This window comes from Homo sapiens, chromosome 1 (genome assembly GCF_000001405.40).
Source record: "Homo sapiens chromosome 1, GRCh38.p14 Primary Assembly".
In the NCBI taxonomy this organism is placed as follows: domain Eukaryota; kingdom Metazoa; phylum Chordata; class Mammalia; order Primates; family Hominidae; genus Homo; species Homo sapiens.
The window spans coordinates 154,225,447-154,249,521 of NC_000001.11; the positions used below are offsets into that span (position 1 = coordinate 154,225,447).

Below are 24,075 nucleotides of genomic sequence, written 5' to 3' on the forward strand. Positions count from 1 at the left end.
ATGGGTCCTGTGCTTTTTATCTTTTTTTTTTTTGTTTTGTTTTAAGATAGGAGCTCCCTTTGCCTAGGTCAAAGTGCAGTGGCACAGTCACCATTCATTTGTAGCCTCAACCTCTGGGGCTTAAGTGATCCTCCCGCCTCAGCCTCCTGAGTAGCTGGGACTACCAGTGCACACTACCATGCCAGGCTAATTTTAAAATTCTTGTAGAGATGGTAGTCTTGCTGCATTGCCCAGGCTGGTCTTGAACTCATGGGATTATAGGTGTGAGTCACTGCCCGGCTCTATAACTCTTAAGATAGCATTTCCCTTCTCTTACCTGGGCCATTTTAGCAATACCTTTCTATTTCTTAGACCTTCCACCTTGATATCTCTCTCTTTTGTTTTTGAGACGGAGTCTCGCTCTGTTGCCCAGGCTTGAGTGCAATGGCGCCACTTCGGCTCACTGCAACCTCTGCCTTCCAGGTTCAAGCAATTCTCCTGCCTCAGCTTTCTGAGTAGCTGGGATTACAGGAGTGTGCTACCATGCCCAGCTAATTTTTGTATTTTTAGTAGAGACAGGGTTTCACCGTGTTGGTCAGGCTGGTCTCGAACTCCTGCCCTCAGGTGATCCACCTGCCTCGGCCTCCCAGAGTACTGGGATTATAGGCATGAGCCGCTGTGCCCTGCCCCACCTTGATACCTCTCTAGCAAGCCTTTTCCATTCCAGATTTTATCCTTTGCTCCTCTTTTCCCCAACTTGTCTTTTATTTTCCTCTCTGGTTCCATTGAGACCTTACCTGATTATTCCTTTCCCATGAGGAGCTGGCAACTTCACTATGTTTCTTCAAAATTAAATGAAACACCTTAGAGCATTGCTCAATTTTAAGTTTTAAAGAGTAAATTAACCTCTTGGATATTAACTTTGATGTAGATATATTCTGTTTCTCATACCAGGTTGATGTTAGTTGGTATGTAATGTGAATGAATTACTTATATTTGATTATGGTCAGATAAATCGAATATGTAAGATTAGGACATCCCCCTTACGCATTTTTCTTTCATCTGTGTTTTCAAGTGGATTTCTAGTAGAATTATAATACTTAGTTGGGGCAGTAAAATTCCTAGTATCTGAACATACACTGGATATATAGAAGATGTGTTGAGTCTATTGTCAGACTTGTATTCTAAGCTCTAGGAATAAGAGGATGGCGTTGGTTATTACAGAAATAAGAATAGAGTTTACACATGGCTTTGTGACTTAATATGAATTAAGGGGCAGATGTTTCAGAGCGGTTCTGTGATTCTAAGACGGAAGTCCCTTTAACTGTGAAGATTGGTGAATGAGTTCCTTACTCTTTCTGTAACAGTTTCACTCAATTTTTTGTCATTTTACTGATTTAAGCATCTTTTTTTTTGAGGTGGAGTCTTGCTCTATCACTTAGGCTGGAGTGCAGTGCCACTATCTCAGTTCACTGCAACCTCCTCCTCCCAGATTCAAGCAATTCTCCTGCCTCAGCCTCCCGAGTAGCTGGACCTACAGGTGTGCACCACCACACCCGGCTAATTTTTGTATTTTTAGTAGAGACGGGGTTTTGCCATGTTGGCCAGGCTGGTCTCAAACTACTCACATCAGGTGATCTGTCTGCCTTGGGCTCCCAAAGTGTGGAATTACAGGCGTGAGCCACCACCCGCACCTATCCCTGATCCCCCATTAAGCGTCCTAAATGGTGCTTTATTACTTGCTCATTTGTTACAAGGAAAAGAAAATTGGGGCAGTGGAGGCTGACGAAATAGGTTCCTGTTCTCTAAACTGTTGCCTCATGATTATGCTTTCTTGATCTCATCTCAATTCCTAGGCCACTGCAGAACAAATTAGACTTGCACAGATGATTTCGGACCATAATGATGCTGACTTTGAGGAGAAGGTGAAACAAGTGAGTGTATCACTAATTTACTGTACACTATGAGAAAAGATACCAGTATTAAGGCATAATCAAATACTGTAGATGGATGCCAGGATACTTTCTACTATAGGTATTGAAAGAATTTTGACCTGAAATATAATAGGTCAGGCCAATAAATAAGTGCTTTCATTCTCTAATTTTTTGTAGCCCTTTGTTTTGTTTTTTGTTTTTTTTTCAGATGAAGTCTCACTCTGTCACCCAGGCTGGAGTGCAGTGGCATGATCTTGGCTCATTGCAGCTTCTGCCTCCCGAGTTCAAGCGATTCTCGTGCTTCAGCCTCCCGAGTAGTTGGGATTACAGGCGCTCACCACCATGCCTGGCTAATTTTTTGTATTTTTAGTAAAGATGGGGTTTCACCATGTTGGCCAGGCTGGTCTCGAACTCCTGACCTCAAGTGATCTGCCTGCCTCAGCCTCCCAAAGTGCTGGGATTACAGGTGTGAGCCACTGCACCCAGCCTATTGTAGCCCTTTGGATAGATACTTTGTTTGGAAATTTTATCTTAATTTTAACCTCTTGCCTGTTGCTGATGCCATTTTGTAGAAACTGAGCAGTTGTGGGTATAGGAAATGTGGAAATTCATGCTGAAGCCTGTGTGTTTCAGAGTTTGATTCTGTATTTGATGCTTAATTGCTTTGTAAATACTTTTGACCTCATCCCTGAACCACAGATGTTAATATTTGGCTTTTGGAAATAGAATACCAAAATTCTACATGTTTTCCTTTTTGGCGGGGGTTGGGGGGGTGGTTCTGGAAAACCTGCTAGGCAAATTCTACATCATTTTTCTTTCTTTCTTTTTTGTTTTTTTTTTTATTTTGAGACGGAGTCTTGCTCTGTGGTCCAGGCTAGAGTGCAGTGGCGCAATCTCAGCTCACTGCAACCTCCGCCTCCTGGGTTCAAGCAATTCTTCTGCCCCAGCCTCCCAAGTAGCTAGGATTACAGGCGCCCGCCACCACACCCAGCTAATTTTTGTATTTTTAGTAGAGACAGGTTTAATCATTTTGGTCAGGTTGGTCTCAAACTCCTGACCTCAGGTGATCCGCCCACCTCAGCCTTGCAAAGTGCTGGGATTATAGGCGTGAGCCACTGTGCCCAGCCCTCATCTTTTGCTTTTTAAACTTGTTTTTTTCAAACTCAACTGATAGCGTTTCCCTTCACCTAGTTTCCTTTCATTGGGAGTGTGAGCATAAGCCTGTTCATGATGGTTGCTGTTTTTTCTCTTTCAGTTGATTGATATTACAGGCAAGAACCAGGATGAATGTGTGATTGCTTTGCATGACTGCAATGGAGATGTCAACAGAGCTATCAATGTTCTTCTGGAAGGAAACCCAGACACGGTAGAGTGCTTATAGAGTGTTCTAGGACATGGGTCCTCAATTGGGAGGCTAGTAATGTTCTAAAAGTAGCAAATGGCAACATACCTTAAAGCAGAGCACCTTTTTCTTGAAGTAAAGTTGGGAACTTTCTTGGAGATTGTTCACCACAGGTTATAAATACTTAAAATTTATGTGTACTACATCCTTTTTATGAGGATAATGCTCATAGGAGAAAACAGTGAAATCAGTCTCTGCTAATTGGCCTGGAATAAATTATTTATTCCAGGCTAGTGACTGTTTTCAGGCTGTGGGGTTAGGCTGAATTAGAGGTGCGATTTGATAGCCTTGGATATTGCTGTTGAACAAAGTCACACACTATACTTGATTCTGTTTTTTTTTCTTTTTATTTTATTTTATTTTATTTATTTTACATATTTGATTCTGAATTCAGGACATTCCCCTCAATATCAGCTTCGCATTGCACACTACTGTTTCATTGCCTGAACTTCCTTCTGTTGAGGTAGCAGAGAAACAAGCTTTGTAGCCTGCTGACCATCCCTGGAGATGATAGGGGATATCTTGGAGGATCTCTTGCCCTGGAATTTAGACAAGTCGCTTTCACTTCTCCTTCCCACTTCATGAGAATTCTGTTTTTATGCTTGTCTTATGTTTGTACCAAATTGTAATCCTCTGACTGCCTTATTGATCTTCAGAATGTTCCTGCAGTGCTTACTAGAGAAATTTTGTTTTTTTAATGAGCAGTGTATTATTATTATTATTATTATTTTGAGCCAGGGTCTTACTCTGTGGCCCTGGCTGGAGTACACTGACATGCTGCAACCTCCTCGTCCTGGGCTTAGGTGATCCTCCTACTTCAGCCTCCTGAGTAGCTGGGACCACAGGCATGGGCCACCATGTCCAGCTGATTTTCCCATTTTTAGTAGAGCCAGGGTTTCTCCATGTTGCTCAGGCTGATTTCAAACTCCTGGACTCAAGCTAGCTGCCCGCCTCGTCCTCCCAAAGTGCTGGGATTATGGGCATGAGCCACCGCACCTGGCCCAGTGTATTATTTTGAAATCATTTTCATTTATTGGGTCTTATACTGGGGCTCTTTGGTTGGAATAGATATCAAAATTCATCCTTACAGATAACAACTTGTTTTTTTTCTTGAGTCAGAGTCTTGCTCTTGTTGCCCAGGCTGGAGTGCAGTGGCGTGAACCTGCTCTCTGCAGCCTCCACCTCCCAGGTTCAAGTGATCCTGTGCCTCAGCCTCCAGAGTAGCTGGGATTACAGGCATTCACCACCATACCCAGCTAATTTTTTTTTTTTGAGACGGTGTCTCTCTCTGTCTCCCAGGCCGGAGTACATCTCGGCTCACTGCAAACTCTGCCTCCTGGGTTCAAGCAATTCTCATGCCTCAGCTTCCCGAGTAGCTGGGACTACAGGCATGCACCACCATGCCTGGCTAATTTTTTGTATTTTAGTGGAGACAGTGTTTCACTATGTTGCCCAGGGTGGTCTTGAACTCCTGAGCTCAGGCAATCCTCCTGCCTCGGCCTTCCAAAATGTTAGGATTACAGGCGTGAGCCATGAAACCTGGCCTCAGATACAACAGCTTTCTGATACTACAGAGTCACTCCAGCTAAATGCAGGAGGTTTGTCAATTTCTTTGAGACAATGGGAAATAATAATGGAAAACTTTTAAAAACAATTGAATTTAAATTGGTGGGTTTTTTCTTCAAAAGTGTTATCCTGGATTAAATTTTACACTGTTGACCTTATTTGAATATTTACTATCTGGCCAATCAAGATATGCTTTTGATTTGTTTTGGGTTTACTCTAGAATAATTGTCTCCAGATTTTATGGGGGGAATCAGGTGGGGCTATTTATGTTTTTTTAAAAGTCTGAATGTTTTTTCGCAAATCACATTTTATCTTACCTTCCAGCATCTTCTGTCTAGTGCTATAAGGCTGATGTTATACAGTATCAAAAAGGAAAATAAGCTGGAGAATATAGGTTTATGTTACGAATAAACTAGCTACTAGTGAAACCAATGGGAAGCAAAGTCAGCTCCCAGGGATATTGGATGTATTTGGGTGGGTGAGATCATTTCAGAAAACTGAAGTCGCCTTTGGGAAGATAATAGTAATTCTTTCTCCTGACCCATCTTGTGCCAGCAACAGATGTGCATACAGAGGAGGGAGAAAGGTTACAGTTTCCTGAAACTTGCCAGGTTTTGAGATAGCAGCATAAATTCTAAAAGCTGTTTTGAGTCTAGCTTCCAGAGTGTTCCTGGTGTATATTTAGCTACAGGGTTGTTCTAACTTACTGTGAGCATAAAATGACCCACTAACTGTAATGTATAATAGGCTTGGGTTGGAAGAGTAGGCAGCAACAAACTACCAAGTCTTGGGTAGGTAATCTTTTTAAAACAAATGAATTAAGAGATGGGGTCTTGCCCTGTCACCCAGGCTGGAGTGCAGTAGCATGATCACTGCAGCCATGGACACCTGGGTTCAAGCAATCCTCCCACCTCAGCCTCTTTAGTAGCTGGGACAACAGGTGTGCGCCACCACACTTGGCTTTTTTTTTTTTTTCTTTTTTCTTTTTTTTGAGATGGAGTCTTGCTCTGTTGCCCAGGCTGGAGTGCAATGGTGAGATCTCGGCTCACTGCAGCCTCTGCCTCCTGGGCTCAAGCGTTTTTCCCACCTCAGCCTCCCAAGCAGCTAGGGCCACAGGTGTGTGCCACCACACCTGGCTGATTTTGGTATGTTTAGTAGAGACAGGGTTTTGCCATGTTGCCTAGGATGGTCTCTAACTCCTGGCCTCAAGTGATCCACCCTCCTTGGCCTCGGAAAGTGCTGGGATTATAGGTGTGAGCCACCATCCCCGGCCCTGTTTTCTATTTCTATGAATTTGCCTGTTTTAGAGATCTCATGTAAGTGAAATCATGTAATATTTGACCTTGTATGTCTAACTTACTTCACTTAGTGTAATGTTTCAAGGTTCGTCCATATTGTGGCATGGGTCAGAATTTCATTCCTTTTTAAGGCTAATATTCCGTTGTACATATATGTGGCATTTTGTTTACTCATCAGTGGACACTTGGAATTATCTGGAAGTTGTAGACATAATACTTGATACCCTTAAGTTCTTCAACATGCTTCCCTTAAAGGAGGATACTCTTACATTACCATAATACTATTATCAATCCTGATAAGGTTAATAATTTTGTATTATCTAATACTCAGCCCATATTCTGAAAGTGATTAGACATTAGGTAGCTGTTACTGAGCACTAGGGCCATGATTGAGTTTGATGGTAAGATAATAAAGATCTGAGGCTGTGCACAGTGGCTCACACCTGTAATCCCAGCACTTTGGGAGGCCATGGCGGGCGGATCACGAGGTCAAGTGATCAAGACCATCCTGGCCAACATGGTGAAACCCCATCTCTACTAAAAATGCAAAAATTAGCTGGGCCTGGTGGTGCCCTGTAGTCCCAGTTGCTTGGGAGGCTGAGGCAGGAGAATCACTTCAACCTGGGAGGCGGAGGTTGCAGTGAGCCGAGATCGCACCACTGCACTCCAGCATGGTGACAAAGTGAGACTAAGTTTCCAAAAAAAAAAAAAGGAAAGAAATCTGATAGTGTTGGTGTTTGTCCTGGAAGTTCCATTTGTACAGGTTTTTTACAAAAATATGTGTAAATCAAGGTATGCATTTTTTTAAAAACTTTTAAGTTTACAATGCTCATTTTCCTGAGGAAGAGTGTTTTGCAAGGGTGTTAAGCTTATTTTCCTTACCACAGACTTTCCCTCTTGCAGTTAGGAATGTATCATAGATATGTATTTTTCACTGGGGAAAGTTAAATTGGCTGATACCAATTTAGGAAATATAGGGAGAACACTGCAAGTAAAACCTGGATGGAAGGCTTTGTATAATCAGTATCTCTTGGGGTCAGGGCTGCGACTGTCGTTTGGTCTTCTTTTATTTTTATTTTTATATACTTTTTGAGACAGGGTCTTACTCTGTCACCTAGACTGAGTACAGTCACATAACCACGACTCACCGCAGCCTCAATCTCCTGGGCTCAAGTGATCATTCTGCCTCAGCCTTCAAGTGGTTTGGGTGACAGGAGTGTACCACCATACTTGGCTAATTTTTAAATTTTTAGTAGAGACCAGAGTCTCATTTGGTTGCCTGGGCTGGTCTCAGATTCCTGGCCTGAAATGATCCTCCTGCCTTGATCTCTCGACCTCCCAAAGTGCTGAGGTTATAGGTGTGAGCCACCACACCCAGCCTTACCTTTTTTTCTTTTTTTTTTTTTTGAGATGGAGACTCCTCTGTCGCCCAGGCTGGAGTGCAATGGCAGGATCTCAGCTTACTGCAACCTCCGACTCCTGGGTTCAAGCGATTCTCCTGCCCCAGTCTCCCGAGTAGCGGGGATTACAGGTGCCTGCCACCACGCCCAGCTAATTTTTTGTATTTTTGGTAGAGACAGGGTTTCACTATGTTGGCCAGGCTGTTCTCAAACTCTTGACCTCAGGCAATCCACTCTCCTCGGCCTCCCAAAGTGCTGGAATTACAGGCGTGAGTCACCGCGCCTGGCCCTTTTTTTTCTTTTTTTTTCTTTGAGATGGAACCTTGCTCTGTGGCCCAGGCTAGAGTGCAGTGGTGTGGTGCGATCTTGCGTCATTGCAACCTCCACCTCCCAGGTTCAAGCAGTTCTCCTGCTTCAGCCTCCTGAGTAGCTGGGATTACAGGTGCGCACCACCACACCTGGCTGATTTTTGTATTTTTAGTAGAGACGGGGTTTCACCGTGTTGGCCAGGCTGGTCTCAAACTCCTGCCCTTGTGATCTGCCCGCCTTGGCCTCCCAAAGTGCTGGGATTACAGGTGTGAGCCACCGCACCTGGCCACCCAGCCTGATCTTTTAAATGAAATTGCTGTGTGTGTGTGTGTGTGTGTGTGTGTCTGTAGGTAGGTAGCTCTAGTTGTTTTCCTCCTAAATTTATGGGTGAGATTAGAGAACGTGCCCAAGAGTAGAATGCTGCTCATTCATTCTGAATTCATAGGTAACTTTTAGAAACATTTTCTTTTTTGCTTTATTTGGTATGAATGATGCTATAAAAAGTTGTGGGTCACTGACTCCGAAGGAAATTAGTTTTTTCTTTTTTTTTTTTAGCCCAGGAAATAACACTTGAAAGATAGGGACCAATAACTTGGTCCTTTGACTAATATGCTAAGTGACTGAATTAGATAGAGGTCTTTGTAATCCTCTTGGAAGTGATCCCTGCAATGTTTCCTATAAGTACCTTCCCTACAAAAAAGACTTTATGGCTGGGCTTGGTGGCTCACGTCTGTAATCCCAGCACTTTGGGTGCAGTGGCTCACATCTGTAATCCCAGCACTTTAAGAGGCCGAGGTGGGTGGACCACCTGTGGTCAGGAGTTTGAGAGACCAGCCTGGCCAACGTGGTGAAACCCTGTCTTTACTAAAAATACAAAAATTAGCCGGGCATGGTGTCGCGTGCCTGTAATCCCAGCTACTTGAGAGACTGAGGCACGAGAATCGCTTGAACCTGGGAGGTGGAGGTTGCAGTGAGCCAAGATCACACCACTGCACTCCAGCCTGGGCAACAGAGCGAGACTCTGTCTCAAAAATAAATAAATAAATAAATATAAATAAATAAAAAATAAAGGACTTTACTTTTTGTAGTGATATGTATAAAATATTTAAACAGAAGTAAAAGCAAACTAATGGAAGTGTTTTAGACATGGATGCTGAGTGGAGAATGGTTAAGTCAATCAGTCATCCCAGCTTTCATCTCTAGTGTCCTGATAGCACTCCATATTGATTAGATATGAATGCTCTACCCTTCTATAGCATTCCTGGGAGATGGTCGGGAAGAAGAAGGGAGTCTCAGGCCAGAAGGATGGTGGCCAGACGGAATCCAATGAGGAAGGCAAAGAAAATCGAGACCGGGACAGAGACTATAGTCGGCGACGTGGTGGGCCACCAAGACGGGGGAGAGGTGCCAGCCGTGGACGAGAGTGTATGCATGGGGCTTTATCAAAACCAGCTGTGGGTCAGTAATGTCTAGACTCTAGGGATGTGCCAGGGCCCTGCTAGTCAGGACCTAGGAACCATTATATTATCCTTTTGCTTTTCTTGCCGTCGTCTGTTCTGAGACCTTGACATCTCTTGCATGTGGCCTTTTCTACCAACTGCCACCAGTCTGGCATGAGATTACCCTGTAGTCATTTATAAAGTTAAATTTGACTTGCAGCTCTCCATTAAGGCACATTACCATTCCCTGAGAAACATGTTCCCATCCTTCCAGCTCATTTTCTCTTCGTTGTTTTTTTAATTCCCAATACCATATTACATACCATTTATATATTTGTATATATCCTGTTGACTGTGCTCTGGCCATCTGTGGTTTGGTTTTTTTGTTGTTGTTGTTGTTTTAATTTTTATTTTTATTTCAGTTCGAGGTCAGGAAAATGGATTGGATGGCACCAAGAGTGGAGGGCCTTCTGGAAGAGGAACAGAAAGAGGCAGAAGGGGCCGTGGCCGAGGCAGAGGTGATCAGTTTGTTGGGGGATGGATATTGGGGGCAGGTTACTCTTTATTCATTAATGGTCTGCTTTATTTTTTTTTTTTATTGGAGGTAGTCTCACTCTCACCCAGGCCGGAGTGCAGTGGCACAGTCATAGCTCACTGCAGCCTCAGACTCCTGGGCTCAAGTGATCCTCCTGCCTCAGCCTCCCTAGTAGCTAAGACTACAGGTGGCCGCCAGTATGCCTGGCTAATTTTTTTTGAGATGGAGTCTCGCACTGTCACCCAGGCTGGAGTGCAGTGGCGCGATCTTGGCTCACTGCAACCTCTGCCTCCCGGGTTCAAGCGATTCTTCTGCCTCAGTCTCCCAAGTAGCTGGGATTACAAGCGTGCGTCACTACGCCCAGCTAATTTTTGTATTTTTAGTAGAGATGGGCTTTCACTACATTGGCCAGGCTGGCCTCGAACTCCTGACCTAAAGTGATGCGCCCGCCTCGCTAATTTTTAAATGCTTTTGTAGAGATGGAGTCTCAATATGTTGCCCAGGGTGGTCTCAAACTCCTGGCTTCAAGAGATCTTCCTGCTTGGCCTCTCCAAGTGCTGAGGTTATAGGTGTGAGAGACAGCACTTGGCTCCAGGGTCTACTTTGTTTAAAAACAAATTAACATGAAGTCTAGTTAGTTAATTCCTGAGGTGTCATGCATATACTAGAGATTGCAGAAGGGGAGAGTGAGAAAGAAGGTAGATGTCATTTCCTCTAGTCTTTATTGCTAGTATTGTATTTGCTTGAGGACATGGTAGTCTGAGAGCAAAAGAAAAATCTCTCAACAGTAATGATTGTCCTACTCTATTACTGATGTGTAACATGGGACAGAGAGAAAGAACATCTGATAGTATCAACCACTTTTTATTCCAGAGCTGCCTCAGCTGGCAGGGTAGTTTTTTGTATTTTTGAGGCAAGGTTTCACTGTCACCCAGGCTGGAGTGCAGTAGTGCGGTCTTAGCTCACTGTAGCCTCTGCCTCCTGGATTCAAGTGATCCTCCTGCCTCAGCCCCTCAAGGAGCTGGGACTATAGGTGTGTGCCACCACACTCAGCAAATTTTTGTACTTTTTATAGAGATAGGGTTTTGCTCTATTGCCTAGGCTGGTCTCGAACTTCTGGATGCAACCAATCCGCCCGCCCTCAGCCTTTCAAAGTGCTGGGATTACCACCGGGAGCCACTGTGCCTGCCTGGCAAGGAAGTTTTATATCAACTTCTAAAATACATCTCTCTTCTCTTTTTCTCATTCTTTCTTTAGGTGGCTCTGGTAGGCGAGGAGGAAGGTTTTCTGCTCAAGGAATGGGGTAAGTTTCATTGATCTAGTGTCTTAATTTTTTTTCCCTTAAAAATTACTGTAGGCAGCCTTAACCAAAATGATCAGAATGATTTCTAGACTGGTCAGAAAGATATGGGGACTTAGGGCTCATTTCTTAGGGATAAACCTTTACCACCTGGATCATTACCTATATTTTATATATCTTTATTTGAATCAATATACCTGTTCTTTTCTCAGAATATCTTAGATATATGTTGAGATTATACCATGAAATTTTGGGTAGAGTGATAAGTGAGAAAAAGTAGATGACACACAGGATTATAGAATGGGGCCATGACAGATTTGTACTAGGAAGGATGCAGTCAAGATTTTGATTCTTTGAGTTAATATTTGCCAAAGCTGCTTAGAGGTCAGAGACTCTTAAGTTTTATTTTTTCCAGAACCTTTAACCCAGCTGATTATGCAGAGCCAGCCAATACTGATGATAACTATGGCAATAGCAGCGGCAATACGTGGAACAACACTGGCCACTTTGAACCAGATGATGGGACGAGTGAGTGACCATTTATCATTCATTTCTTGTCTCTGGGAATCTAAGGAAATAGTTTTTTCTGATTATACTTACATTAAAACGTGGAAGAATAGTGTTTGGTTATGGAGATAGGGTGAGAAAGGGCTGGCAGTTGTATTACTGTGTGTACTGTTTATGTAACGTGCATATGGGCACATTACACATGTTATTTCGCTTAATGCTGCTTGATATTGTATGAAATAATCATTATTTATCATCACTTTCCAGATGACAAAACTAAGGCCGAAAGAGAGGTTATAAATTTGCTAGTATTTGAACTCAGCATTGTTTGACCCTGAAAGTCCATGCCCTTTCAACTATGCTATGTCACTGCTATTAGGTCCAAGTGTATTTTCTAGTGTTTATGTTAGGGTAGTGTTGCCTTTTGAAAAGATAGCCAGAATTAATCAAGCCACTGCTTGTAAAGATGAACAAGGCCTAGAATCAAAGTCCACACTATCCATTTATTTGTTTTCTGTTACTGAGATAAGAATATCCTTTTTTTCCCTTTATTTTTGGGACATGTCAGTATCTGAACAAGAAGATTTCGAAATCTCTCTAGCCTTTCTGGTGCCCTGTTGAACAGCCTTCTTGGTGTGATGGAGTATTCAGGGTTTGAATAAGATTACTTTTTTGTTAACTGACTTTGGTGCCTGCGTCTGGGCTGGATATAAATGTTTAAGGATATGTTAAGCTGTGGTATACACCTAAGATGTGTTTGGGGGTGGATACGTGTGCCACTTTCAATAAGAGCAGTTCATTTTAGTAAGAAAACTCTGGAGTGCTTTCTTGAACAGCTGCCTCATTCTGGCTGAGCTAACACATGAGAGCCTAAGGCTTTTTTTCCTCTTACAAAGGGGGATGAGTAGGGCCTGAAATGTTTGACTCCTTACCTGTTTAAATTTGCCTTGTCACCTTTCACAGATACGTGATCTCTGGGCCTTTAGGAGAGCCTTTGGCACAAATAGTTTTCCACCTTTTTCCTACAATATATTATTCCTGAGGCTCTGAATGTCGTCTGCTTTTTGTTCGCCAAGTTGCTATCTTATAAATTCATTTTTAACACATTTCATGGGTGGAGGCTGAAGTTGAGTTACAAGATAGGTATCTTTGAATTTCTGCATCATTTAGTTACGAAATGTCCTGTTATAGTTTAACTTACTATACTTCGGAGGCATTAGAACTGTTCTTCATTCATCTCTTGATGGCTTTGTAGAGGCAGTGGTAGCAGTCTCAATAACAAATAAGTTACTGTTTTTGAGCTGTAGCTTATTCCTGGGTATTTGGCTTTTTATCTTTGGCAGGTAAGATGGCAGAAGTTGAAAAGTTTGTTTTTAGTTGTGAATAGAAATTCAGGCATGGGGTCCCAGTCCTTAGCCTTCGCTGTCTTCAGTAAGGATCTGGTTGGAAAAACAGCGAAAGGTAGTGTGTGTGTTAATTTCTACTGAGTAGAAAAGGGAGCAGATGTGCAAGGCTGGAATTGGAAATCTGATTTGTAGCTGAATGTGACGCCACTATCGTCTTGTTAGTGCAAAAGTGTTGGTTATAGCTTCATGAATTCCCATTGTCATTAATTTTTTTTTTCTTTTCTTTTTTTCTTTTTTGAGACAGAGTCTTGCTCTGTCACTCAGGCTGGAGTGCAGTGGTGCGATCTTGGCTCACTACAGCCTCTGCCTCCTGAGTTCAAGCTATTCTCATGTCTCAGCCTCCTGAGTAGCTGGGACTACAGGTGCACGCCACCACGCCTGGCTAATTTTTGTATTTTTAGTAGAGATGGGGTTTCACTATGTTGGCCAGGCTGGTCTCAAACTCCTGACCTCAAGTGATCCACCTGCCTTGGCCTCCCAAAGTGCTGGGATTACAGGTGTGAGCCACCACGCCTGGTCGTTGTTAATTTCATGATATGAACATACCTTCATGCATGGTTTCTTTTTGTGTTTTCCTGATAGCAAACTTGAGTTTCCCCTTTAAATTAAAAAAAAAATCCAAACCTACCTTTAAAATATCCACAGGTACAATGGGGATTATGTATTGGGGCAGACTTTCTCATTTACAAGCAAAATTTCACTGGTTGTTTTTTCTTTTCTTTTCTTTTTTTTTTGTTTCAGGACTTGATTTCATTGGGGTTGAGGGGTCAAATTATCCCCCAAAATTATCCCCCAGACTGCTCCTGGTATGATACATCCAGGTGCCTAACTGCCCCAGATATTTTTGTAGATTTTTATGAGCTGAAATATCTGTGGATATGTCATTTTTATGTCTTTCTGCTTTTTCTCTTTCTGCCTTTTTCTCTCATTTTTCTGTGTCCACTTACCTTTCTGTTCATTTAATGAATATTTGACAGTTACACTGATTGCTTTCTGCTAATGGAATGGAAACCCTAGTCTGTTGTTTAGAGCATTTCCATCTATTCTGTTCCTTAATGCTTCCTCAGCTCTCTCTCTTCCTCAGCCATGACCGTATATCCTGAATAGGAACATACCAGTTAGGTGTCTACGTTCCTCCTTTCCATCCCAGTTGAAGTCATCAGTGTGCAGAAAAAAATTCTTGCATCAAGAGCCTAGATTAAATAACCTGTTAGATCATGTCTAACTCTAGGATTGTGTATAAGTGCTAATGCAACTTGGATTCCATCGAGCCAGGATAAGATGGATGTCAATGAGAAGAAAGTGTGGTATCAATGAAGGAGAAAAGAATGTGGTTTGTAACTTGTCTGTACTGAGATTGGACTTTGGTTTTGAGAATATTGTCATTATTAAGTGGTTTAGGATTTCCCTGGTGCAATTTTAATATTTTCCTGGGAAAGTCTTTACAATGAATATATTTTCCTCTAAGAAAGAAGATTTTTGCATTATTAAATGTTTAGAAGAATTTTAGATGGGCTTTGTATTAGAATACTTCTAATGTGGTGTTAGAATACTTCTCTTCAGTGGCACAGCATCTGAATGTCAGACTTTTCATTTCATTCTTATAAGCTTTTTTCCAGTAGGAGGGAAGGATTGAAGAGTTATTTAATATATATTATTCTAGCAAGAAAATAAGGGTGCTCTTGTCCCTTCTTCAGACAGGTTCTTGTTTTTACTGTGCCTTTGGCTGAAGGGAAGAATCCTGGTTCTTGTTAGAAATTCTCACCCTTATTTTTTAAGAAAGGACATTTTTTTTTTTCTGAAAATATATGTATACATGAAGCACAAAAAAGGAATGTGGAAGGTGGTTTGATTGCTTTTGGATTTCTCCAGTAGAAACTGTATCCCAGCTTCCGTATTACCAACAAACACAAGGACAGTGTATACTCCCGTTGTCTGTGCCATGACCATAGCAGGTCAGGTTTCAAGTTCTATATGAGTAAGGTTAGGACAGTAACTATCATTCATACCTGATTTTTCAGTCTTGTTCATTGTCTTTTGAAGAGGACAGCTCTATAGGGGCTTTTCTTATACAGTTAAACCAATAAGATCTATAAACTTGACTTCTGCTGAGTATGCATTTTTAATCTAATTCTCATAGCAGATAGTTTTCAATGCCCTCAGTTCGGGTTTCAAACCCACCCTTCTTCACTGCTCTTTCACTAACCATTATGTGGTAACCATTTGTGTTTCTCTATCAGTGCTACTATCCTTCTTCAGACTGCCTACAGTATTTTTTGTCTTATACTAGATAAATAGGTGTAGTTTGCATGTTATGGTTTAAATTGGCTGCTGCCATTTCACTGAATTGACCACTAAATCAACCTGAGGACCTTAAAGATACTGCTTTGAGCATTGGGTGGTTGTCTGTCTGTCCCCCCCCCCACCCCCATTCCTGCTTTGTAACAAAAACTGAAAGTAGCTATGAAATCATAATCTTATTAAAACCCTGGTACTCTGAGATATCCTTTTCTAAAGAGTGTTTCCTTACCTTTGAAGCCCAAGAATTTCTTTTTTTTTGTTTTGTTTTTTGTTTTTGTTTGTTTTGAGACAGTTTCACTCTTGTTGCCCAGGCTGGAGTGCAATGCCGCGATCTCAGCTCACTGCAACCTCCACCTCCCAGGTTCAAGCCATTCTTCTGCCTCAGCCTCCCGCGTAGCTGGGATTACAGGCATGTGCCACCACGCCCAGCTAATTTTGTATTTTTAGTAGAGACAGGGTTTCTCCATGTTGGTCAGGCTGGTCTCGAACTCCCGACCTCAAGTGATCCACCCACCTCGGCCTCTCAAAGTATTAGGATTATAGGTGTGAGCCACCACACCTGGCCTTCTGATTACTAAATTTTAGTCATACTTTTGGCTGCCAAAAAAATTAATACATTGATGTTTTCTATACATGCTTTGTACTGGCATTTAATAGTGAAGTTACTTCACTATTTTTCTTTATTCTCAGGTGCATGGAGGACTGCAACAGAGGAGTGGGGGACTGAAGATTGGAATGAAGATGTAGGTATTCCCAGGTCATTCCTCACTAATGCCTTCTATCCCTAAGTGTTGTTTAGGGATAGAAAATGGGTATGTTTCTACCCCTCAAAATTCACCCTTAAGATTCTGACCCAAAACTTTTACATCCAAAATAGTGTTCTGAGCCAGAACATTTCACATATGTTATATGAAGGAGACTGGGCATGAACAGGACTCTGTGGAACCACACTATGGAAAGGGCAAGTGCACTTGTGTAAGTCCAATATCTGATTGTCGGATTTATCCCAGGAAGAGATTGGTGGTTGGGTAGGGCACCAGAAGTGGAGTTAGGCAGGTAGTGCATTGAGTAACAGCTGCTGGTGGTACATGACTACTTGGTGCATTTAAGTATTTGCTATAAGGTCCTGTAATGGATTGGCAGTGGATCCAAAGCGAGTGTTGTGGTACCAAATCCTCAAACTTGTAATCTGGTTGACTCTGGAACCCTTGTATTTATTTGAAGCCCAACTGTATAATTGTGATTGAGATGAATATCTGTAGAATTGGCTATCTGCCAGCTTGACTTAACTTGGAAACCTCATAGATGGGTGGCACGTAAACAAGCTCTGTGAATTCATTTGAGTACTACCTGAGTAAGAATTTTGCTGATTCCTGGTCACAGTCAAGCTTCTGCTGTGAATTATGGTTTTCAGTGATCATGGATAAACTCTTGTTTTAACATTTTTAATCTATGTACTTTTCTATACTTTCATGTAGTTAGGCAAGACAGCTTTTGTGATAAGAGGAAATGACATGTGAAGACTGTTTTGGTTGCCAATTCTGGGTTTTTTAAATTTCAGAGGCATCAGCATCACAGGGTGATTATTTTCTATTGTATAATCAATGAACTAGACTGCTTTGTGAAAATGGGCAAATTATGTTCCTTTCTGAGATTTGGCTTGTCCGCTTAAGCAACTTTCAGAGAATGATAAATGGTGTTGGGCATTGAGGGGAGAGTGGATTTTCTGTGCTTTAGCGATTTTAATCAAGAAATAAAACTGAAACCCAAATCAACTTTTGAATAGTAGGAAAAGTTAATCCCTGCATTTGCTTACCTAAGTTTGATGCCTTAATAGTGGAAGGACTAGATGTCACAAAGTCAAATATTAAGGCAAAAATAACATCTAGTTAAAACGATCTCCCATAAAAACCTTAATTCAGCAGCACTTGGGCCCTTACTGCTCAAAAGCTAAAAATGAACTTCTTTTATTTATTTCTTCATCTTGGTTATGATCTTTCTTTGGGAGGGGTGGGGCTGTGAAGGGAGTAGTAGAAGACAAATGTGGTTTGGGAAGAGGTGGGAGTTGGGAACTGTAATGGGAAAATATAGAGGGATTTTCTTTCTTTTATTTTTTTTTTTTTATGTCTAGCATGCCTGTAAGTTCAGTATGCATATGATCATGTGACTCCACTATATTTTATTGGGTTCCTTGCTTCTACTCTTTCTTTGGCTAAAACTATTGAGCATATATTGAAGGGCTTGAAAGTCAATCCATTCAGGATTCCTCAGGGTAGATAGTTTTCTCTTTATAGGGCTTTCACTTTTTCTTGATGTTGAATTCCCCTTACCTATGCCAAGTTTCTGACTGTAGCATCCCTGACACCAAGAGTGACTAATCCCTCTGTTTTCCAGCTTTCTGAGACCAAGATCTTCACTGCCTCTAATGTGTCTTCAGTGCCTCTGCCTGCGGAGAATGTGACAATCACTGCTGGTCAGAGGCAAGTGTGCAGTAAAATTTAGTACCATTTCTTAAACACATCTGCTGAGATTACTGTAAAGAGAAGTGGCACTGGCCTTTGTAAACTCCCATGGTGTCAATAATAATAACCAAATTACATTACATCATTACATTCCTCTTAAGTTGATGGAGAGACTTCTTTTTTTTTTTGTTTTTGAGACAGAGTCTCACTGTATCGGCCAGGCTGGAGTGCAGTGGCACGATTTCGGCTCACTGCAACCTCTGCCTCCTGGGCTCAAGCAATTCTCCTGCCTCAGTCTCCCGAGTAGCTGGGATTACAGGCGTGTGCCACCACGCCTGGCTAATTTTTGTATTTTTAGTAGAGACGGTGTTTCACCATGTTGGCCAGGCTGGTCTCGAACTCCTGACCTCGGGTAATCCGCCCACCTCTGCCTCCCGAAGTGCTGGGATTACAGGCATGAACCACCGCGCCAGTTGATGGAGAGACTTCTAAGAGTTAGTACTAGTTAATCTGCTGAATGGAAGTTGATATGTTACAATTTTAAAGTTGATTCTCCCTGCAAATAGCACTTTAATTACAAAGATCAGCCTTTCATATCACCAGCATTGAGTATATAACTTGTTTTGAAGTAAGTCAGGGAAAGAAGAGCCAAAAGTGGAAATGTTTTCATTTATTTCTGAATCTTTTAGAACTGTTCAGCAGTTTATTCTCCTGTTCTCTGAGCCCACTGAGTATAACAGTTGTTTTTTTCCTTTGGATCAGCAGGATCCAGCTAATAAACGTTTTAGAATTTAAATCTCTAGGGATCAGTGGTAGGAGATACACTCTTCAGGGAATATTTTTAATTCGCTGGAAACCTCTTGGATTTTTTCTAGACCTGAGCCTGATAGCTCAAAAATTCAGTTCTGACGTTAACTACCCAGAGTTAATGCAGACCCCACAAGTTGAAAGCTCAGTTCTACAAGAGTGCCCCAACTTCAGAGGTTCTGCCAGCCAGCTACAAATTTGGAGGTTCCCATGACCGCCTTTCAAGTTTGATAACTCACTAGAATGACTGAACTCAGGAGTTTTACTTGCCGTTACTGTTTTTTTGTTTTTGTTTTTGAGACGAGACGGAGTCTTGTTCTGTCACCCAGGCTGGAGTGCAGTGGCGTGATCTTGGCTCACTGCAACCTTCTCCTGGGTTCAAGCCATTCTTCTGCCTCAGCCTCCCTAGTATCTGGGATTACAGGCATGCACCACTATACCCAGCTAATTTTTTATTTTTAGTAGAGGCAGCGTTTCACCATGTTGGCCAGCCTGACCTCAGGTGATCCACCCACCTCAGCCTCCCAAAGTGCTGGGATTACAGGTGTGAGCCACCACACCTGGCCCATTACTGGTTTATTATAAAGGTACAACTCAGCAACAGCTAAACGGAAGAAATGAGTAGGGCAAGGTATGAATGGGTATGTGGGTGGGGCACACACAACCTCCTTGTCCTCTGCAGGTATCCTGAAGCTCTCCAAATCTTATTGTTATGAGTTTTATTACCTAGGCATGATTGATTAAATCATTGGCCATTGGTGATTGGACTTAATAGCCACCTCGCCTACACCCCTGGAATTTGGTGGGATTGGGAGGGGCTTCTGAAAGTTCCAACACTCTTACCTGGTCTCTTTTTTTGAGACAGAGTCTCACTCTGTTGCCCAGGCTGGAGGGCAGTGGCACAATCTTGGCTCACTGCAACCTCCGCCTCCCAGGTTCAAGCGATTCTCCTGCCTCAGCCTCCCGAGTAGCTGGTATAGTAGGCACCCGCCACCACGCCAGGCTAAGTTTTGTATTTTTAGTAGGGTTTTACCATGTTGGCCAGGCTGGTCTCAAACTCCTGACTTCAAGTATCCGCCTGCTTTGGCCTCCCAAAGTGCCGAGTTACAGGTGTGAGCCACTGCATCCAGCCTTATCTGGTCTTTCTAGTGACCAACCCTCATCCTGAAACTATCTGGGGCCCCACCCTGGGCTACCTCATTAGCATTCAGGTATGGTTGAAAGAAGTGTGTTATGAGTAACAAAGGACACTATCACTTAGGAAATTCTAAATGTTTTAGGAGCTCCATGCCAGGAACAAGGCAAAGCTCAAGTATATATTATACCACAGGTAACTTTTGAAATTTTACGAAAATTGTGGGAAAAAATATCTCTCAGACTGCCCCTGTTCTAAAGCCATTTGAAGATTCCAGTGTTCTGGTATATGATTTTCTGTTTTAGGAATTGGTAATGACAGGTATTCAGTATTAAAATCATGGATAAGTACTTGTAAGTTTTGGCTGAGTTATTGAGCTGCCATGTTAAAACTAGCATTTGAGGCCGGGTGCGGTGCGGTGGCTAACGCCTGTAATCCCAGCACTTTGGGAGGCCAAGGCGGGCGGATCATGAGGTCAGGAGATTGAGACCATCCTGGCTAACACGTGAAACCCCTTCTCTATTAAAAATACAAAAAAAAAAAATTAGCCGGGCGTGGTGGCAGGCACCTGTAGTCCCAGCTACAGGCTGAGGCAGGAGAATGGCGTGAACCCAGGAGGCAGAGCTAGCAGTGAGCCAAGATTGCACCACTGCACTCCAGCCTGGGTGACAGAGCGAGACTTTCTCGAAACAAACAAACAAACAAAAACTAGCATTTGATATTTCATTAAATTAATAACTTCACTTAAAAAATTAACCATTATTATTGGCAACATCAGTGGAATTCAGCTATATACTGTAGTGACTCTTATGCATCAGTTATTTTGGGACATTTAAGCATTTCAAGGCTTTTGTGTTTGAACCCTTTTAGAAGAAGCCCCAGCAAGTGGCTTCATTTTGATCTAATCTGATTTGAGTGTTGGGGAATGTTAGCGTGTTCAGTCATTCTTCATGAAGATCCCTTCCCTTCCCCATTAGAATTGACCTTGCTGTTCTGCTGGGGAAGACACCATCTACAATGGAGAATGATTCATCTAATCTGGATCCGTCTCAGGCTCCTTCTCTGGCCCAGCCTCTGGTGTTCAGTAATTCGAAGCAGACTGCCATATCACAGCCTGCTTCAGGGAACACATTTTCTCATCACAGTATGGTGAGTAGGAAACGTGGTTTATCCTAATCAAACCTTCCTGCTAATCCTAGCACACATACACAGTTCCTTCCAAAGACAGTCAGGTTTTTGGCAGGTGAAGCATCCTCTTTGTCTTCTTAAGCAGACTTGGTTGTAGAAATGTTTGAGTTGGGTAATAGGGGGTAGCTCTAAGAGAGGACTTAGTTCTGGACAGACTGAATATTCTTATAAGAATAAGTTAACATTATTTATTGACTACTCATTGTGCTGAATGAACACCATTTGCCATTACTCTTGAGAGAAAATCAATGACATAAACTTGTCAATACATTTTAATCCTTTTGCAGCCCTCATTAAACTATGATGGGAGATTGTAGCAGTTCCCCATTTCTTGATGGATCAGAATTGTCTTGTATATTTACTTAAACCAGGTATTTGTAGACAAGGCCTCCAGAAACCTATGGTCTTCCCATTTCTGCCACTTACTAGCTGTGTCTCCATTTCTATGTAAATAGGGATAAAAGTGCTAGTCCTTCCCATCTTCCCAAAGGTGGCTATACAAGTGTGGTTTCAGTAGTGATATTATAAATAACTTAGAACTTATGACATATTACTTGTTGACTCAGAGCATTTAAAACATCCAAGGTCATTAACGACATCAAAGGAATCATTTAAACTAAACAAAGATGCTACAAGTACCAGTTTTCTCATAGTCATTGAGTCCTGAGAAGTACTGCTTTTTCTTTTTTTCTCTTTTTCTCTCCTATTTTTTGATGGAGGGATACTAAAGTTGTAAGCAGACCATGTGTGTGCATATAATTTTATTTTTCCAGTTAGAGTAATTAGTTTAACTAGAAAACTGCCAAGCTAGCTACTAATTCAGAACTCGGTCAGTTTTTAATTGTTGTCTTAAAATGTTTTTTGTGTGTGTTAAGTTAGTAATTTGGTGGTCGATGTCCTGCCACATAGGAAAGGTAACAGGTGAGAAGAGGTGGGAGGAGAAGGGAAATGGAGAGAAGTGTTGGGATTAAATAGAAAAAGAAGAAAGAAAATAGGACAAAGGTTGTAAGAAGGTGTAATGAAGATCAAGAAGTAACTACCAACCCTTAAAGATAAATGACTGGAAAATGTGATTATGTGATCTATGTCTCTTAATTGCCCTCTTAATGTCTGGAATTGTGAAAATTTACAACGAAATCAGACTTTTGATATCAAAAAGATGTTTTCAGCTGGGGACAGTGACACGTTCCTGTAGTCTCAGCTACTCTGGAGGCTGAAGTGGGAGGATTGCTTGAGACTAGGAGTTCAAGACTATAGTGAGCTTTGAGCTCACCACTGTACTCCAGCCTGGGTGACAGAATGAAACCCTTTCTCTAAAAAAAAATTTTTTTTAAATAAAAATGTGAAAACTAAGTATAAATACTATTCTGTTTTTTTGTTGCCTGTACTAATCAATATGTTAGATAATGTAATTTCCTTTCTATTGAGAATAAATGTTAGAGGATTAATTTCACTTAAAATTTAATAGAGCTAAATAACATGGGAGTTTCTTTATATTTTTATGTATAATACAGTGAACACTAGGTAATTTTAATTGTTTTTATTTTTTATTTATTTTTTATTTTTTTTTGAGACAGAGTTTCACTCTTGTTGCCTAGGCTGGAGTGCAATGGCGCGATCTTGGCTCACCGCAACCTCCACCTCCTGGGTTCAAGCAATTCTCCTGCCTCAGCCTCCTGAGTAGCTGGGGTTACAGGCGCCCGCCACCACGCTTGGCTAATTTTGTATTTTTAGCAGAGACAGGGTTTCACCATGTTGGTCAGGCTGGTTTAGGACTCCTGACCTAAGGTGAGCTGCCCGCCTCAGCCTCCCAAAGTGCTGGGATTACAGGCGTGAGCCACCGCATTCGGCCCAGTGATTACCCTATAGAACTTGTATGTACATGGAGAAAACAATCAAATCATACTGACTTGCTACTTGATTGTCTAGTGCAGAAGTTGGGATGCCCTTTAACTTTTCCTTTTTGCCTCTGTGCTAGTTATTAGCAGCATCGAGATGAGGCTCCAGTTAATTGTTGTTTCTTTTGAGTTTTTTTAATGAGAAGGGCAAGGACCTTAATGGCAAAAGTAAAATCTTATATTACATTTATGTTAATTGTATTGGTTGATTTAAAAATTCTCGGCTGGGTGTGATGGCTCACGCCTCTAATCCCAGCACTTTGGGAGGCCGAGGCGGGTGGATCACGAGGTCAGGAGATCGAGACCATCCTGGCTAACACAGTGAAACGCTGTCTCTACTAAAAATACAAAAAATTAGCCGGGTGTGGTGGCGGGTGCCTGTAGTCCCAGCTACTCGGGAGGCTGAGGCAGGAGAATGGTGTGAACCTGGGAGGCGGAGCTTGCAGTGAGCCGAGATAGCACCACTGCACTCCAGCCTGGGTGACAGAGCGAGACTCTGTCTCAAAAACAAAAACAAAAACAAAAATTCTCCAGTCAGCCAAATTTTATCCCTGAGAAGCAGGGAGAAGGAAGTAATGATGATATGAAGTTTTAATGGCTCTGTTTTTTTAGTGATTACTATGTGCCATACATGTATTAAGTGCTTTAATTTATTTAATCCTCCTACAGCTTTACTTTTATTCCTATTTCCAGATGAGGAAAGAGAGATTAAAAAATAGTTTTTCCAAGCTTACATAGCCAGGATTTCAATCTAAGACAGTCTGACTCTAGGTCCTATACTCTAGTGGACTATGCTGTATACTCAGTGTGACAGTATTCTTTACTTGCCTGATCTATACTGGCTCTCGGTCTGGATAAGTGTCTTTATGAGTAGCTGAACAAGGTTACTGGCTGTAGGTTTCTCTCATCTCTTTGTTGATCTACAGGTGAGCATGTTAGGGAAAGGATTTGGTGATGTCGGTGAAGCTAAAGGCGGCAGTACTACAGGCTCCCAGTTCTTGGAGCAATTCAAGACTGCCCAAGCCCTGGCTCAGTTGGCAGCTCAGCATTCTCAGTCTGGAAGCACCACCACCTCCTCTTGGGACATGGGCTCGACGACACAATCCCCATCACTGGTGCAGTATGGTGAGAAGATGGAAAGTGACTTGAATCTTTAAAGCATTGGAGCATTACTGTCAAGAGGCTAGCAGGGGGAGGGGGTGGAGAATG

General features: G+C 42.1%; 1 protein-coding gene across 52 annotated transcripts in view, besides 1 other annotated feature; it reads left to right on the forward strand.

The window, feature by feature from the left end:
* The window catches only part of UBAP2L (ubiquitin associated protein 2 like), a 51,339-nt gene that overhangs the window by 5,275 nt on the left and 21,989 nt on the right, over positions 1-24,075 (forward strand). For 29 of the 52 annotated variants that reach the window (XM_047435869.1, XM_047435875.1, XM_047435827.1 and 26 more), the window contains exons 3-12: positions 1,836-1,913; positions 3,169-3,279; positions 9,145-9,313; positions 9,750-9,845; positions 11,120-11,165; positions 11,578-11,690; positions 16,067-16,119; positions 17,771-17,856; positions 20,758-20,929; positions 23,793-23,991. In XM_047435869.1, the coding sequence (XP_047291825.1) occupies positions 1,836-1,913; positions 3,169-3,279; positions 9,145-9,313; positions 9,750-9,845; positions 11,120-11,165; positions 11,578-11,690; positions 16,067-16,119; positions 17,771-17,856; positions 20,758-20,929; positions 23,793-23,991 (1,123 nt within the window). Of the gene's footprint in view, positions 1-1,835; positions 1,914-3,168; positions 3,280-9,144; positions 9,347-9,749; positions 9,846-11,119; positions 11,166-11,577; positions 11,691-16,066; positions 16,120-17,770; positions 17,857-20,757; positions 20,930-23,792; positions 23,992-24,075 lie in introns of all 52 variants that reach the window. The other 23 variants (XM_005245668.5, NM_001330730.1, XM_005245669.5 and 20 more) reach the window with 2 other exon arrangements.
* Positions 7,739-8,238: an enhancer, noted in NCBI's record as "H3K4me1 hESC enhancer chr1:154205661-154206160 (GRCh37/hg19 assembly coordinates)". NCBI's record gives its function as "activates a minimal SCP1, AML or CMV promoter by ChIP-STARR-seq in naive H9 embryonic stem cells {active_cell/tissue: H9 hESC(naive)}" and the evidence as "EXISTENCE:reporter gene assay evidence [ECO:0000049][PMID:30033119]".